The sequence below is a fragment of the Homo sapiens genome, chromosome 1 (assembly GCF_000001405.40).
Source record: "Homo sapiens chromosome 1, GRCh38.p14 Primary Assembly".
NCBI classification, from domain to species: domain Eukaryota; kingdom Metazoa; phylum Chordata; class Mammalia; order Primates; family Hominidae; genus Homo; species Homo sapiens.
Window position 1 is genome coordinate 94,711,381 of NC_000001.11, and position 17,726 is coordinate 94,729,106.

At 44.8% G+C, this 17,726-nt stretch overlaps 1 long non-coding RNA gene across 7 annotated transcripts in view, besides 5 other annotated features; it reads right to left on the bottom strand.

Moving 5' to 3' along the window:
- Positions 1 to 17,726, bottom strand: part of SLC44A3-AS1 (SLC44A3 antisense RNA 1) — a 203,881-nt gene that overhangs the window by 95,029 nt on the left and 91,126 nt on the right. The window lies entirely within an intron of this gene.
- Positions 212 to 1,169: an enhancer, noted in NCBI's record as "H3K27ac hESC enhancer chr1:95177148-95178105 (GRCh37/hg19 assembly coordinates)". NCBI's record gives its function as "activates a minimal SCP1, AML or CMV promoter by ChIP-STARR-seq in naive H9 embryonic stem cells {active_cell/tissue: H9 hESC(naive)}" and the evidence as "EXISTENCE:reporter gene assay evidence [ECO:0000049][PMID:30033119]".
- Positions 2,596 to 2,645: a silencer, noted in NCBI's record as "silent region_1098". NCBI's record gives its function as "represses an Ori minimal core promoter by ATAC-STARR-seq in GM12878 lymphoblastoid cells {active_cell/tissue: GM12878}" and the evidence as "EXISTENCE:reporter gene assay evidence [ECO:0000049][PMID:35858748]".
- Positions 9,033 to 9,322: an enhancer, noted in NCBI's record as "active region_1348". NCBI's record gives its function as "activates an Ori minimal core promoter by ATAC-STARR-seq in GM12878 lymphoblastoid cells {active_cell/tissue: GM12878}" and the evidence as "EXISTENCE:reporter gene assay evidence [ECO:0000049][PMID:35858748]".
- Positions 11,873 to 12,374: an enhancer, noted in NCBI's record as "H3K4me1 hESC enhancer chr1:95188809-95189310 (GRCh37/hg19 assembly coordinates)". NCBI's record gives its function as "activates a minimal SCP1, AML or CMV promoter by ChIP-STARR-seq in naive H9 embryonic stem cells {active_cell/tissue: H9 hESC(naive)}" and the evidence as "EXISTENCE:reporter gene assay evidence [ECO:0000049][PMID:30033119]".
- Positions 17,061 to 17,561: an enhancer, noted in NCBI's record as "H3K4me1 hESC enhancer chr1:95193997-95194497 (GRCh37/hg19 assembly coordinates)". NCBI's record gives its function as "activates a minimal SCP1, AML or CMV promoter by ChIP-STARR-seq in primed H9 embryonic stem cells {active_cell/tissue: H9 hESC(primed)}" and the evidence as "EXISTENCE:reporter gene assay evidence [ECO:0000049][PMID:30033119]".

Here is a 17,726-nt window from a genome sequence, read left to right on the forward strand (position 1 = left end):
AAATGGCAGTGAACAAAACAGACGTGAATCCCTGCCTTCCTGAGGAGTCCATGCTAGTGGAGGACAAACAAACAAAAACAAGGTAAAGTCAGGCAGGATAAAGCAGTGAGGGAAATAAGACAAGAGGAAGGGGAATGGGGAGTGATGGGGCTCCCATTTGAGATGTGAGATCAGGGAAGGCCTTCCTGAAGAAAAGGTATTTGGGCAGAGGCCAGAGTCGAAGAGAGGAGAAAATCATGTCATCGTCAGAGGAGGAACATCCCTAGTGTGGGAATGAGCTAAGCCTAGAGTTGCAGAGTTAACAAACAGGAGGAGGAGGACGAGAAACAAGAGGAGATGAACAAGAAAAGGGATTGTTTAGTATATGTCGCATTCAACATTTGGAACACACTTGTCTTAGTCTAACCATGTGTGCTGCTGTAACACAAAACCACAGACTGGTTCCTCTATAAAGAACAGAAATTAGCTGGGATTGGTGTCCAGTGAGGGCCCAGTCTCTGCTTCCAAAATGGCACCTTGCTGCTGCGTCCTCTTCAGGGGAGGAACACTGTGTGTCACCGAACAGAAGAGCAGAAGGGCAAACCCACTCCCTCAAGCCCTTCTATAAGGCCCCAGTCCCATCCATGAGGGCTCCACCTTCATTACTTAATCACCTAAAGCAGGGTTCCCAAGCCCTGGACCACCAACCAATACAGGTTCATGTCCTGTTAGGAACCAGGCCACACAGCGGGAGGTGGGGGCAAGCGAGCAAGCGAAGCTTCATTTGTATTTATAGCCACTTCCCATCCCTCGCATTACGGCCTGAGCTCCACCCTCTGTCAGATCAGCAGCAGCATTAGATTCTCTATGGGACTAGGAACCCTACTGGAACTATGCATGCGAGGGATCTAGGTCGTGCTCTTCTTATGAGAATTTAACTAATGCCTATGATCTAGCATGGAACAGTTTCATCCCCAAACCATCCCCACCCCTCCAACCTGTTGAAAAATTGTCTTCCACAAAACTGGTCCCTGGTGCCAAAAAGCCTGGGGACCACTGACCTAAAGGACTCGCTCCTTAATGCTATTACATTAGAAATTAAGTTTCAACATGAATTGTGGAGGAGACACACATTCAAACCATAACAATACTTATACTAAAATAATTACATGTTGTTTATCTGAAATTCAAATTTAACTTGGAATCCCGTATTTTATCTGGCAACCCTAGATTTTGGCTTAAGGAGTGGAAAGGAGACCGATGTGGCCACAATGGAGGAAGCAAGGAGAAGATGGAGGGAGATGAGGTTGGGGAAATTTGGAGAGGAGAGGGTGGTTGACATTTCAAACACAGAGAAGCCATCTAGGTATGCTTCCAGCTCTTCCAGTGGAATTGTCTCCACCTGTCCAAGAGAGAAACCCATGCTGAGGGCTGTGAAAGAGGAAATAGGAAAGAACATAGCACAGGGAACTCAATCTAGACTGAGTCCTAAAGTGGTTCAAGTCTGCAGCATCCCTTCTTCGAACGAGGTAAGATTCTTTGGAAACCCTGGGGTATCAACTAGGTCTTGGCTCCTTCACCCAGCAGAGCAGCTGGGTCCTGAGCAGACAAACTGAGGGAGGTGGAGTGGGGGCATGACCTGGGAGCCCAGAGGTTAGATTATCTCAAGACAGGTAAGGTGGGGGGATAGAGTCAGCAAATTCTCAGGGATCCAGAATCCTTGGTGGCTGGCTGTGGGCATCCTGGGAGGGGACAGATCAGCCCAGGGAGTCAAGAATTTGCCATTGGCCAGGACAGTTTATTTGAGAATCTGAACTGGAAGCAAACCTTGGTGACAGATCTGAGCTGTAAGTATTAAGGTTGAAACAGAAAACACCCTTTGAGGTTAAGATGTATATAAACCATTGGGCCTCATGCTGGCCGACTTTGGGATCTGGGGAAAAGCAAGATAAACCTAGGTAGACATTTCAAGGAAATTCTGCTTTAGCCCCTGACGCCTACTTCATAGTAGATGTTTAGTCCCTGAGGATTAAATGAGATGATGTATGTAAATCACCACGCTTGGTACATTGGTAAGTATGACATTAAATGGTAAATGTCCCTTCTTCATTATACTGCTGTTCCCAAATCTGGGACCTGAAGGGAGCTTAAGACACCCCCTACCCCCTTGGCCTGCACACATATACACACACACACACACACAGACACACACACACATATATGAGAGAAACTGCATGGTTAGATCTGAGCACTACAACTGAATCTCTTCCCTTTCTTGTAGATAGTGAGCTGGTAAGATTAAAATGCCTGGCACATAGCAGCTGCCCAATAAATATTGCTATATAAGTAAAAAGGAAATAAGTGGCCTTATTCTCTCTGTTCTCCCAGAGTTCAATTTTTCACTTTCAACCCGACAAAAAAGGAAGTAGGGCTGCCCGAGTGGGGCTATGGAGAATCAGGAGCAAACTGCTCCCCGCCCTTCCCAGTTCAGGGGTGTTGCTTCATCGCCCGACTGACACGCAGGCCAGAGAAGCAGCTGACTCCCCGCAGAGCTGCTGCCTTATAAGGACATTGGCCAGGCCTGCCAGGTGTGTCATCCCAAAGCCCTGTGATGGCCCCAGTGAGTCAAGGCCAGGGTGGATTTAAAAAACTCAGAAAAGCCATATGGGCAGCAAGTGAGAGTTTTCTCACTTCCTTTCCTCCTCACATGTTTCCATATGTTTTAAATTATTATCCCATTTACCACTTACCTCTGCAATTGGGAAAACAGAGAATAGAGTTTTTGATTTAGAAAAGAGGTACTCATAAGCTATTACTCCAGTAGCAAAGGAAATTCTCTCTCTGATTTTCTGGTGGGTTGCTGGCGGGGAGTGAGCTGATGAAATGAAGAAAGTATAGCCTGCGGAGAAGTCCCCTTAAGAATGAATATGTGGTGGCCCCTCCAGGACAAGGCAGGATCCAGCAGCGTAGAGAGCTGCCTCCATCCCAGGGCAGTGCGGGGAGACCCAGTCTCCCTCTGCTGAGGGAGGACTTGATGCTCGCAAAGGCAAGCCAGCAATGGGCAGGGAGACTTGGAGAAAAGTGGTCCTTTTGAAAGATATGAAGGCCCAAGAAGGGGCAGTGGTACTGAACAGAAGTGGCATAGAATCATAGCCAAGAAATTGGGCTTTGAAATCTCACAGACCTGGATTTGAGCCCCAAATTTGCCAACTTTAGCTGGGTGAACTAGAGCAAGTTAGTTCTTTTTTTTTTTGAGACAGAGTCTTGCTCTGTTGCCCAGGCTGAAATGATCATAGCTCACTGCAGCCTCGACCTGAGTAGCTGGGACCATAGGCACACCCCACCATGCCCAGCTAATTCGTTTTTATTTTTTGTAGAGACGGGGTCTTTCTATGTTGCCCAGGCTGATCTTGAACTCCTGGGCTCAAGCGATCCTCTCACATTGGCTTTCCAAAGTGCTGAGATTACACCATGCCTGGCCTTCATCTTTGTAAATCTCCATGGCCTACTGTGTGAAGTATTTGTTCATTTAGGAAATACCTACAGAGCATTTCAATGCCTTGCTCACTTTAGCTCATCAGAGCAAACCAGTGAAGTAGATTCTATTATTATCTCCATTTTACAGGTGAGGAAAATAGGTGACTTGCCCAAGGCCACACAGCTAGTAACTAGGAGAACTGAAATTTGACCCCAGGCAGTCAGGCACCAGGGTCTGCAGTCCCAAGTTTAAACTATGCCAAGAGGCTATAATTGCACCTGCTTTGCCTGATGGAATTCTGGAGGACTAAGTGGACCAGGGCATGTAAAAAGCTCTTATCACAGTGCCTGAAACATGGTCAAACTCAGTGAATGCTACCTATTATCATTTGTCTGTTATTTGTGAGGATTGCCCAGAAGTGGATCCTGAGAGGAAGGGTCCTGTGCAAGTGACTTAGTAAAGACAAGCTCCCAAAGAAACGGGTCTGGTACGGGAATGGGGCAAGTCGGCAGGGGACTGAGAAGAAGCCAAGCAAGGGTGCAACTGCAGGCAAGGTCTCACAAGGGAGTGTGTGAGATTTCTGAGTTTGTCCCCATGGAGACAAGGGAGCTGGGCTTTGTGGCGTTAAACTGTTGGTCTCTGGCTAAGGGATGCCCTAAAAAGATGGAAACTTCCTGGCATGTCTGGGCTCTGCACCTGTGGGCAAAGCAGTGTAGTAACCAGATGGCAGTCTTCCAAAGAGAGTCACGGGTATGGGGCTGTTTGAAGCAAAAGCACCAAAAAGCACTGGCGGAGTTCACAGAAACAGCAAAAATAGATCCAAAGGCCTCTGAGGGAGCAGGAACTGAGCCCACCCAAGACCACCCCTTGCATCACTCAGACCAGCTCACATCTTCCATTCTGTGAACTTCATTCCGCCACTGCGCCTTCAAGAGGGTGGACACTCACAGTTTCTGGGGGAAAACTTAACAAGATAAGAGTTAGTGAGACAAGATACATCTCTTCTCACACAAGTTTATGTAAACCATTCACACAAGTTTCTACAAAAGAATATTAATTGTGCCAGACACAGTGGCTCATGCCTGTAATTCCAGCACTTTGGGAGGCCGAGGAAGGCCGATCACCTTAGGTCAGGAGTTCGAGACCAGCCTAGCCAACGTAGTGAAACTCTGTCGCTACTAAAAATACAAAAATTAGCTGGGCGTGGTGGCACGCCCCTGTAATCCCAGCTACTCAGGAGGCTGAGGTGGGAGAATCGCTTGAATCTGGGAGGTGGAGGTTGCAGTGAGCCAAGATCACACCACTGCACTTCAGCCTGGGTGGCAGAGTGAGACTCCATTTCAAAAAAAAAAGAATATAAAGAATATTAATTGCAACATTAATAATAGCTAAAATGCAAATAAGTCAAACTTATTTGATCTCTAGGGATCAAACTTAGATCTCTAGGGATTTGCTTTTTTCTTTTAACAATTGCATAATATTCTATGGTATGGCTGCATACCATGATTTATTCAACTAAGCCACTGATTTATTATTATTCATTTAACCAAGCCACTACTGATGAAAGTTTGACTTACTTGCATTTGAGCTATTATTAACAATGTTGCAATTAATATTCTTTTACATAAATTTGTGTGAGTGGTTAACATAAACCTTTGCAGTGGTCCCTTGGCTGTGGCTGATATTCATCATCTCCCTGCTCTGCCACTCTTTCTAGAATCCCTCCACTCCCAGCAAGTACTTCTGGCGGTGTAGGTGGCTTGCTTGATGAGGTGATGCAGACTTTTAGCCCTAAAGGGTTTATCTCCCACACTCTAAAAAACATGAATCCTAACAGGTATCCAGAGTTGTCGCCCCTTCCATCTTAACAGGTTCAGTCAACATAAAGTCACCAATATGGTGGACAAAGTACACTGTACTTTCAGTTTCCTAAGAAAGGAAAAAGATGAAATTCCATTAGCCATAGTCAAATGAGCACGCCATCAATACCAAGAAAAACTGTAAACTCGTATTAATTAACCTGTTGTGATTTGGTTAAAAAGAAACCATTAACCAACAGGAGCCAGAGAGGGTTCTCTAAGAACAAGTCAGGCCTAGGGCACATTGAGGATGAGCAAAAGAGAAATTGTAAATCAGTTTATTTTGGTCTTGGTAACAAGTGAAAAAGAATGGTTGAGAGAAATGTAGGTGGAAGAGATAAAAAGGAATGGATAAAGTGTCTATTATTTGTAGATTCCTTTTATACAAACAATTCTTTTCCACTGATAGTTGAAAACTGAGCGTAGTTTTTTCCTGTCTGCTGGGTGGAAATAGATTGTGAAATGTTGTCTTGTGGTTTCTAAAGAGTAAGTAGAAAACTGCATTAAAAATGCAGCACTAATCCATGCGATGTGAGACCTGCCATCAGGAGCTAAACCACCAAGCCAAGGTCCCTCAGAAATTACCTGTGTGGCAGCCAGTTTCTCACATGCTAGCAGAGGAAAGTCTCTCAAATTGCCCTTTAATAAGCAAGAAGAAAAACTGTCTCCCAGATTGGCAGTATTTATTGTTTTTGCTATTACTATAAATATAATATCTGCTTGTAAAATCTCCAAAATATGAAGTAGAATGTGGAAGTCCCTAATAAGTCTAACTTGATCCAGTGACAATATGGTGATAAAACTGTTAGTGGTCTGATATATATATATACATTTTTTCACCTCTTTTGTAGAATAAAAGAATGAAAGGAAGGATGGATGAGCAGATGGATAAAATGCTTTACAATCTGCCTCTTTCACTTAATATATTGCGGACATCTTTCCTTGTAAAAACATAAATCTCTTGGGATTTGCTTTTTTTTCTTTTAACAATTGCATAATATTCCATCATATGGCTGCACCATGATTTTTTTTAACCAAACCAATACTGATGAAAGTTCAAATTATTTGCATTTTAACTATTTTGACAGTGTTGCAATTAATATATATATATATTTTGAGACAGACTTTCACTCTTGTTGTCCAGGCTGGGGTGCAATGGCGTGATCTCGGCTCACTGCAACCACCTCTGCCTCCCAAGTAGCTGGGATTACAGGCATCCACCACCATGCCCGGCTAATTTTGTTATTTTTCGTAGAGACAGCATTTCTCCATGTTGGTCAGGCTGGTCTCGAACTCCCGCCCTCAGGTGATCCGCCCGCCTTGGCCTCCCAAAGTGCTGGCATGAGCCACCGTGCCTGGCCTGCAATTAATATTCTTTTACATAAACGTGGTGTCTTTATCTGATTATTCCTGTAGGACAAATCTCTGCAAGTTCCAGGAATTGCTGGGTCAGAGATCAACCAAATTCTAAATTTGGAATTATTATTGCTTAATGGCCCTCAAAAGGGTCTACAAATTTACACTCTCACCAATGGTACATCAGAGTACCTGTTTCGCCACAACCTGCAGCTTTTATTGTTTACATGGGAGACAAGGAAGAATCCAATGTCTTTGGTCAATTTTTTCATAGGGAATTTGTCTTTTTCTTATTGGTTAATAAGAACAGATTGCTTATTAAGGACATTAATCCTTGGTAATATCAGGGAATATTTTCAGAACAAGCCATTTTAATGAAATAAATGCTCCTAATGGGAGAAAAGGTATAATATTGTGATGTAATAATTTCACATTCATATACAGAGAACCTCCTCAGCCCACCCTGTGCATAGCATGCATAGCAGATATGTGCTGCATAGAACACACATAGAAGATAGACAGATGAACCAAATTGATGATTGTTTAAAGAAAGAGATAAACTAATAAATAAATGCCATATAGTGCAAACTATTATAAGGGAGTTTCAGGCAAGGTTCAGTGCGGGACTAACAGGGGAACAGTCAGCTCTGGCCAGGAAGGGTGGGAAAGGCTCTGTATTTTTCCCTGGTGATCGTCTGTGGGTATCTTAGGTGGTTTGTCTTCTTGCTGATTTGTGAGAGGTTGTTCTGATGCACTAGAATGAGAAACAGCATGCTGAATTCTGTTGGGATGTTCTGAATTTGAGAATACGGTAGAGCGGGATGGTGGGAGGGATGGTAATTCCCATCAAACACCTTCACCTCTCCCATCCCCTGATCTTGTCAGATAATACACATCTCTAGAGGGGGAGTCCCATGAAACCCACGCATGGAGCCCAGTAGAGTGATAAGCAGGTGCAACCTGAAAATGAGGAGTGTAGGCTAAATCCCCAAAGCAATTGGCAGTCTTCGATGAGTTTTAAGTGGTGTTGGCGATGGGGGCTGCACTTCCTATTTGTGTCATAGAAGCCCTCTAGCTGCTTTGTGGAGGGGTTGTAGGAAAGCAACTCTGGAAGGCAGACCTATGTGAGGGCTGCTGGAGGACAAAGATGCTTGGGCCAGAACCAAGGTACCACACAGATTGGAAAGACATAGGGTGGGAACTGCTGACTGTTTGGACACCGGGGATGGTGAGCATGAGTGATGGTGCCATTCCCTGAGTTAGGAGGTGTAGAAGGAGAAGCAGGTTTGGGGAGTTTAGTGGAGAAGTAGGTACCTGTGGGGCTACTAGTGAAGATGCCCAGAGGGCAGCCACATACATGGATTCAGAACTTATAAGTCAGTTCTCAACTGGACCTTTGGAGGGAGAGTCAGCAGCCTGTTCCTGAACATTGAAACCTTGGAAATGGATGCTATTGCCCCTTGCAGGGTTAGGATGAGCAACAGGGCTGGCACAGAACCCTAGGGAACACCAACAGGGCAAGACAGAGGATGGAAGACCAAGACTACTGGGACAAACGCCAACTCTCTACAGGCTCTGAGATGCCACAAGAGTAAGGCAAAAACAACCTAAGACTCACTCTTTAGTTCATCTAGCAAACCCAAGCTGAAAATTTAAAATACACTCGAGATTTCAATGCTGGTTTAAACTGGCTAGAGTATGGAGTCCAGCAGTTCTTTTCCCTGGTATCATAGCTGCAAACCCATCCAAACTGTGCTCTGCTCCCAACCAGTTCTTTAGGATTGAAGGAATTCAGCTTCAGCATATGAGGCGTCTCTATCCCCTGATTCACAAAGTGACTTTTCCACAATCCCAACTAATTCTGTTTCCCTGAGCTGTGCTTCACCAATATACATCTTCTTCTTTCCCTGCAGCCCTGTGGAAAAAACGTTTCAACATAAGGAAGTGTATAATGTGGAGGAAAAAACCATCATGCCCTCTAAGGGTTCATGGTCTCATTGAAATGTGGCACATCCGCCAGCTTCCCAGGGCTCCCGGGCTGGGTGTTGGGGTGGACTGGGAGTCAGATGGTGATGATGTGCCCAAGTGCATCTGACTCTTGCCTAACAGAGGAGCAATTTTTAGCAAATGTTAAGGAGGATTTGCTCTCCCTTTAGGATGATCAATTTTTCCACTAGGCAAGACTCATTCAATTGCCTTTCCAGAACCCTTACACTCTAGTCTGAATCACACATTGGGAAATTAATAATTCACTATCTTGTGCCACCAGTCATGTCCTCAAGTGGATTCTAAATTCCTTGAGGAGCCAGAGGCCATGATGTTACTTCTCCTGGATCTCCCAAGTGCCCACAACTGGGCTACATCCATGGGAGACCCTTGATGAAGTGAAGTTGATCAGGGAATGCAGAGCACTCAGGCCCACATACCTCGGCCTTGGGGAGCATCTAGTGCAACCCCTTACAGATAGGGAAACTGAAAGCCACAGGGGTGCAGCAGCGTGTGCAGTCACACAGCCCATTGATGACAGAGCTGTTACACAAGGAAGTGAGGAGAAGCAGCAGGGTGACAGACCAAGAGTGTGGCCTTTGCCAGGCCTCCTTCACTTACTGGCCATGTGAGCGTGGGCTCCTTACCACACCTCCTCCACTTCCCCTGTTATAAAGCAGAAATCATACGTGAACTTCAGGCTGGGTGCAGTGGGTGGCCCATGCCTGTAATCCCAGCACCTTGGGAAGCCAAGGCAGGCAGATCGCTTGAGCCCAGGAGTTCAAGACCAGCGTGGGCAACACAGCAAAACCCCATCTCTCCAAAAAAATACAAAAATTAGCTGGGCGTGGTGGCATGCACCTGTAGTCCCAGCTACTCAGGAGGCTGAGGCAGGAGGACTATTGGAGCCCAGGGAGGTCAAGGCTGTAGAGGGCCGTGATCACACCACTGCACCCTAGCGGCAGAATGAGACCCTGTCTCAAAATAAAAGTGAACCTCAGCTGAGGGCATTATGAAGACCAAATGGGCAGACCCATAGAAAGCTCGTGGCACAAGGCCTAGAGTAGAATAAGTGTTCAATGAACATCAGCAAAAGGGAAATACATAACTCCAAAAGAAAAACACATAATTTCATTGAAGTGTTTGCCACCTCCAAGTATTTAGTATGAATTTATTAAATAACTTGACATTTTCAACTCAACTCTACTCATATAGAGAATGCAGCTGGGAGTCGGGCACTTTGAGTTTCCTAAGCGCAGGACTGTTCCTTTCCAAGCAAGAGGTCCACACGGCTCCGAACACTGTCTAGGCTGTACTCTAACATTATTGTCAGCACGATTGCCTGCAACAGTCAGGTCTAGCAGTCAGAGCTGGAAATACCCTGCTCAGATGAAGTAATGCAACCAGAGGGCAGAAGGGAGAAGTGGTCCCCACAGCACGGGGGAGGAAGCGGAGGGAGGGTTACAGGAAAAAGCTTTTCCTTTTCACAAACTGTCACTTTAACTAAAATGCAGTCTCATCTCAGCCTGTTGTAGATGCTTATTATACACTGTAAAATCATACTCACTGGAGGTGTATTCTAGCTCCCATCTTTCCTCCCAAAGCTATGCGATCTTGGGAGTTATGCAATTTTTCTGTGCTTAGTTTCATGGTTTGCCCTTCATTCTGCAAAATGGGGATAATAGTAACTTACGGTTAACCCCTGATTAATTACTGCATCAATTTAAAAAAACAATTCCTGTGAAAGATTTAGAACAGAGTGTCTAGCGTATAATAAGCATTCTATAAATATTAGTTGCTATTGTTTTTAAAATTGTCTATCCTATAGTTTTAATACAGCTGTAGAGTTATTATTTCAGGAGCAAAATCTTGATACCCTTTTCCACCTGGCTCAATTTAATCTGAATTCAATTAAAAATCAAAAGAGAATTGAATTTAGAGTTCTATTCATGAATACAAAAGGCTGGGAGGAAACACACCCCAAATGACACAGTGGATGTGGTAGAATAGGACTATGAACAGATTTTGTTCTTCCTTTTCACCTTCTGTATTTTCCATCAATTATTTGTATGATTAAAATCAATCATTTCAGACAAGAGGGACATCGTGAGCTGTGAGAAACATCTTCTATCTGTTGCTTTCTGTAGGCAGAGACAAAGGAAGGGGCTCCAGTTTGCCATTCTCTTAACCGAGAGGCTTCCTACCTCATCTAATGTGGAGATTCTACTGACCCGGGAAGCCTTCCCTCCTGTTACCTCAAGCCGGCCTCCTAGCCTTTTGCCTCCTCCCACCCACAGCCTGCCTGGTTGCAGGTTGGTGGGAAAGGAGGGGACAGGGGGCTGTACTCCCCAGAGGCCCTTCCACTCCTTGACTCAGGCCGGGTTCTGTCAGTTGCACTCTTCTGCTGAGATGTCCATCTTCTGTTTGTGCCACCTCTGCATCCTTGCCTCATTGCCCTGCCCACCATGACAGCCTTCTCTTTCCAGGACTTCAGCAACTGGTGCATCCTTCTTTCCCTTCCATAGTCATGGCTGCTTTCAACACACAGCTGTTGTCTGTCTGTTTGCTTATTTGATTGTTTTATAGTATGATTCCTTTAATAGAGTCCAAAAACTAGCAAACTAGACCATATTTATTGTGAGATGTATATGTAGGTGGCTTACTATAAAGAGCAGCAATTGTATCTATGGCACTGTTCATAGCACTTCATATACATTTTCCATATTTAATCTTTTAAACAACCTTATCAGCTTGTATCTTCTCATTATCCTTATATCACAGATGAAGAAACAGCACAGAGGGATGAAGTAGTTTGCTCAAGGATATATAGCTGGTGAGTAGAGGAACCAAGATGTGAATCAATGTCTTCTGGCTACAGATTCTGTGTCCTTCACCACTGTACCATGTTGCTTTGTAAAAAGCAGCATGGAAATAATTGTCCCAAAAGTCAGAATAGTAGGTAGCTTTAGGGGAGGCAAAGGATTGAAATCAGCAAAATATGTGGGAGAGATTCTGGGATGCTGGAAGTGGTCCCCATCTTGACCTACGTGGTGTTTACATAGGAATTCACTTTATGATTATTTGTTGAACCACATGTGTCTCTTATGTAATATACAGACGCTCTTTGACTTATGTTGGGTTCATCCAGACATAGCTCATCATAAGTTGAGGAGCCAATGCACATGGCTTTAGCACCATTGCAAAGTTGAAAAAGGAAAATCGTATGTCAAACCATCCTAAGTTGGGGACTGTCGGTATATTGTTGATGGGGTTGTGGGGGTACTGAGCACTAAACTCTGGAAGGCAAGTGGCTACACTACAGGTTTGACTTCTCAGGTCTACCTCGACCTGTTCATTCCATAAAACACTGGAGGCCCCTGCTTCATGTTCAGGACACTGGCACCAGCAAAGTTTTTGAGAAGAAACAGCTTCTGGACACTAGAGCAGCTGAAGTGCCTGAGGGGCCAGTGCCATTGAAATAAGTGTCCAGGCCTTCCTTATCCTGGGGCCTGGAGCCAGGGTGGGGTGGGGAGCTTCTTCTAAACTTTCTGTCCTATGGCTGAGGCCCCTGGGAAGTCTTCCAGAAAAATCTTCCAGGAAGACCTGGGCAAGGCACAGCCCAGGGCAGCAAGGCCGTAGTCATGCTGGAGCCAGAGGAAAAGGGCAGGGCCTCGCGTCTTCCGTGCTTGCATCCTGCCTGACCTGGGACCTCCCAGAATGCTGACCTCCATCTCTGCGCCATCTGAGACCCGCACAGGTGCAGCAGTCCTTGGATCTCTGCCTCCACAGAGCCCTAGCTCACTCCTCACTAAAAGGTGGTGAGGAGCCTTTGTCCACTGCTGCCCAGAATGAGGCTCTAGCTTCTTCACAAAGGGGTTCACAAGTAGTGAGGCCTGGGACTCCGGAGTCCAACCCTAATCCAGTCTGAGGCAGGCAGGACCCTGTGACATTATGTTCTTCTCACCGCATCTTGCACCTTACAGGGGGCCCCACAGTGTTGCAGGAGCAATGACTTGTGGCTTTGGGGAGGTCTTTGCTCTACTTCTGGACTCCGGCACTGGAGGCCTGATTCATATGCTGATGATGACACCAGAATTCCCCTTCCACTCCCTAACCAGGCTTGAAAGTCCAGCTTGCTTCCCAGCTCCCCGTCATGGCCTCATCCCTGCAGAGTCGGCACAGTCCACACTTCTCGCTGCCCATTCTGCTTGCTCTCCCTGGGCCAGCTACCCTTCTTTCAGTGCTGCTCATTCCAAATTGGCAGCTCACACCAGCCCCCTCTCCTGACTGCCAGATACCCTTCCTCTTCCTCCTCCTCGTGCTAATACTCAGTGTCTTAGTTTGTTTCGTGTTGCTGTAACAGAATACCACAGACTGGGTAATTTATTCATTTTATTTTATTTTATTTTACTTTTTTTGAGACAGAGTCTCACTCTCATCCAGGCTGGAGTGCAGTGGCATGATCTCATCTCACTGCAGCCTCCACCTCCTGGGTTCAAGGGATCCTCCTGCCTCAGCCTCCCGAGTAGTTGGGACTACAAGCATGCACCACCATACCTGGCTAAATTTATAAATTAAAAAGTTTATTTCTTATAGTTCTGGAGGCTCGGAAGTCTAAGGTCGAGGGGCCCTTGTCTGGTGAGGGCCTTTTTGCTGCATCCTCCCATGATGAAAGAGGAAAGGGCAAGAGCACACAAGACCGGACTCACTTTTATAACACTTCCTCTCTTGCAATAACAAATGCATGAGATTTGTTATTGATGATGTGATTAATCATTTATGAGGACCCATTAATCTATCCATTAACAACATTAATTCATTCATTAATCACCTCTCAAAGGCCCCACCTCCCAACACTGTTGCACTGGGAATTACGTTTTCAACACGTGAACTTCGTAAGCATTTACTGAGTGAATGTAAGCATTTACTGAGGGCTTACAATGTAGCAGACCCAGCATCAAAGTCTACAATATCTTATTTAATCCCGGTTAAGCACACCTCATGGCACTTGTTAGGGGTTCCACATGTACTGAATAAATGAGTCTTCACAATAATCTTTTGTGGAAGTTACTATTAATCTCTCCATCTCATAGATGAGAAAATGAAGACTCGGAGATGTTAAATAATCGGCCCACAGTCACAATGATGAGTGGCAGAGCTGGGATGTATGTCAATAGCAGGTCTGTTTCTAGGATCTATGTGCTTACCCACTGATATGCTGTCATTCATCTGTTCATTTAACAAATATTAATCCAGTACCTACTATTAGACACAGGAGTTGCAACGGAAAATAAAACAGACAAAATCTTTGATGTATAGAGCTAACATTCTAGTGAGAGAGACAAACATTAAACATGATAAGTAACATGTATGATGAATAGTGGTGAGAGCTAATAAAAAGATAAAGAAGGGAAGGAAAGAGTAAGGGGTGTCATTTTAGATGAATGAACAGGGAGGCTTCACAAAGAGGGGATCGTTGGGTAAAGCCCTGAAGGGGGTGAGGGAGTCAACTTAATCTAAGCAAAGGGCTTTGGAGCTAGGGTACCAGGTGCCAAGGCTCTGCGGTAGGAGAGTTCCTGACAAGTTCTAGGAATTGTGAGGAGACCAATGCCTTTGGAGCAGAGGCACTGAGTCTCCCTCAGTAATGGGAACTCAAAGAGTAGGAGGAGCCAGGTTGCATAGGGCCTTAGGTCTCTGTACAGAGTGGCATGAACCCTGAGTGTGATGTGATTCATCGGAAGATTACAAGGGGAGGCATGACGTGCTGATGTGGCTTTTGACAAGATTCCTCAGGCTGCCACACTGAGAGACATGGCAAATGCATCAGCATGGAGACCAGCAATCTGAACAACTGCTATGGCAATTCTTCAGATAAGAGATTATGGTGGCTGGAGCTTGGGTAGTAGCCATAGAAATGGTAGGAAGTGGTTTATTTGAAATACGTTTTCAAGATGGAACCCATAGGCTTCTAGCCTCCTGGGCTCGGCTGCCTGTTGGACACCTGCATGTTCCCCTCACACCTCAGACTCATCATATCAGAAACTGAACTCATTACCTTTCCCCTAGAAATATTCATCCCTCCTGTACTTTAATCCCTGTTATTACCACTCCCAGCTAGACAGTGGCCCAAGCCAGAAACCTGGGCACCATCCTCGATCCGTCTCTGTCCACCTTCCATTCTGCTTTCTCCTTCTTCATCCCCAACTCCACTGCCTTTAATTCAGTCCCACATCCCTCTGGCCTGGACTCTCAACAGTTTCCCTCCTCTGGCCTGGTTCAGCAAACTCCACAAGGAACCAGGATGATCTTTACTGGAAGCAGACCACATCCATTTAAAACTCTTCTGAGACTCTCTGCTGCCTGCTAAAGAAGTCCAAATTCTCTGGCCCAGAGATGTTCAAAAGAAATACAATGCAAGCCACATACATAATTTAAAATTTTCTAGTAGTCACATTAAAAAAGTAAAACAAAATAAGGTAATTGTAATAACATACATGATTAACCCAATATATCCAAAATATTATCTTAACATGTAATTGTCAAAAGACAAAATAACAACAAATTTAGTTTAATGATCTTAGTTGGATTTTATTTGTGATTCTAGAATGAGGCAACATCTTATTTTATAAAACAGAATAAGTGTTCCAATGGGCTGAGCAGATTTTATAGACAGAAAAGGGCTGAAGAAAGCAGAAACAGAATGAAAAATCAGAGTGGTTGTTTCAAAGCTGCTTTCCTTGTAAAGGTAAAAGCAGAGGGCACTTTCCTCATCATGCTGGCTAAAACTGACTCTTTTGGGGATTAGGCTATTATCTGTCTCTCTCTTGATTTCTCAGAAGGTCAGATAAACAATTTACTTTTGGCTTGATAGGGTGGAACTTCAGCACGCATAACTCCACTTTGGTTTGGTCTGCTGGGCCTAGTGCTCCTGCTCAGTCCAAACCAATGACATCTATAAATTTTATTAACATAAGGAATATTAAAAAGCATTAATGATATAGTTTGCATTCCTTTTTTCATAGTAAGTCTTCAATCTCTGGTGTCTACTTTACCCTCACAGCACATTGCACTTTGGACCAGTCACATTTCAGTCACTGAGGAGCAATGTGTGGCTACACACGGGACAGTGCAGCTCCAGCCAATCAACCACAGCCTTGCCCTTGGTATTCTCTAGCTCCTCTCCAGCCTCATCCCCACCCCCGCCCATGGTCCCTCACCTGCTTGTTTCCTGGGCTGCAGCAGATCTTATCCACACACCAGGTTGTTCATGATTCTCCGCCCTTGCACATCAATTTAGAGGTGTGCTGGAGCACAATCAAGTAAATCTCTTCCCAGCTCCCCATTCAGTGATGCCATATAGCCTGAAGTCAGCCAAGCTGGAAGCATCTATACTACAGAAACTGCAAGCACTCTAACACAGGGTGGAACGGGTGGGCCCATTGTGAAACATTTGCCAGCATATCACTGCATGTAATGACCACCACCCTGCCCTGCCACCACCATGCTCTTCTGCCACCCCTCGTTCACTGGATAAACTTGGCCATCAGTGATCTGTGTATGTTTGCCGCCCTACTAGACTTTAACTTCAGAAAGCAGAGCCTAGATTTTTTTTATCCAGTGCTTGGCATGTAGTAGAGTTCTTTCCTCCTCCTATTTTTCATTATTTTTCTGAACACTCTATTATAATTACCATTGTATATAAAAGACCATCAAGAAAATATGTTTAAAATATAATATGAATCCTGTTTCCTCTACTTACTGGTGTCATGGCCTCAGGCAAGGTACTTAACTGTAATGAATATTTGTTTCCGTATAGGAAAAGAGGTTTAAAAACATATTCACTGCAAAGCTGCTGCAATGATTAAACCATCTAAATTGTTTAGTCCAGTAATGATTACATATCACAATCACTCAAAAATGTTTAGGTGTTATTACTAAGTGTTTAAGTATCTATTGCTTGTATAAAGTAGTTTCTCAAAGCCTTTTTGTTAAAATAAATGTTGAATGAAATTTTAGAAATTCCTCGAGTCCGATTCGGAGAGTATGAGTCAGAATTCCAGCTGCAGACAGATGGCACGTACACTCAAAGGGGTGACTAAGGGTAGTTTATTAAAAGAGTATTTACAAAAGTCTAGGCAAGTTTAAGGGAACCCCAGGGTTGGCAACAGTCCATGACCACCAATCAGCCTGAATGTGCAAGGGAAAGGAACATTTACCTGAATGCAGTAAGAACTGCAGCTACAGGAAAGGTCTATCAACAGGAGCTGCAGCCCTCCTTAAATGAACCCAGCAAGCCATCAGTGGAGGAGGTGGATAGATATCCTGCCTCACTTTCCTCCAGCTCTCCAGAGGATCGCCTGCCAGTGCTTCCCAGTGGCACAACCCAGGGAGCCCATGGCAGACCCTGCAGGCCAGCCACTTGGACAGTGAGCCCGATGGAGAGGGCAGCAGATGGACTGGAGGCCCAAGCAGGGAATCACATACACAGAGAGTCTTCAAGTGGGACAAAACCTCCATCAGCCTACAGGTGTCCAGTTTTGCTTACATATCAAAGACAATAATCATTGATACTGGGCAGTGTTTCTTTGGTTTTAGCCTTGAAGGAAAGAATCAGATAACAAGCATTTATGTGGCTATCTGGTTACTTCTTCTTCTTGTTTTTTTTTTTTTTTGAGACGGAGTTTCACTCTTGTCACCCAGGCTAGAGTGCAATGGCGTGATCTTGGCTCACCGCAACCTCCACCTCCCGGGTTCAAGCGATTCTCCTGCCTCAGCCTCCTGAATAGCTGGAATTACTGGTGCCCACCACCACACCTGGCTAATTTTTGTATTTTTAATAGAGATGGGGTTTCACCATGTTGGTCAGGCTGGTCTCGAACTCCTGACCTCAGGTGATCCACCTGCCTCCACCTCCCAAAGTGCTGGGATTACAGGTGTAAGCCACTGTGCCCGGCCAACTATCTAGTTATTTTATCTGCAAGTGTATTCCCTCAAATATAAGAAAGCTGATTTTACTCTATGACCTTCCACTTTGTTGGCATCTCAGCATTCTTAGAAAAAGTTCTTTT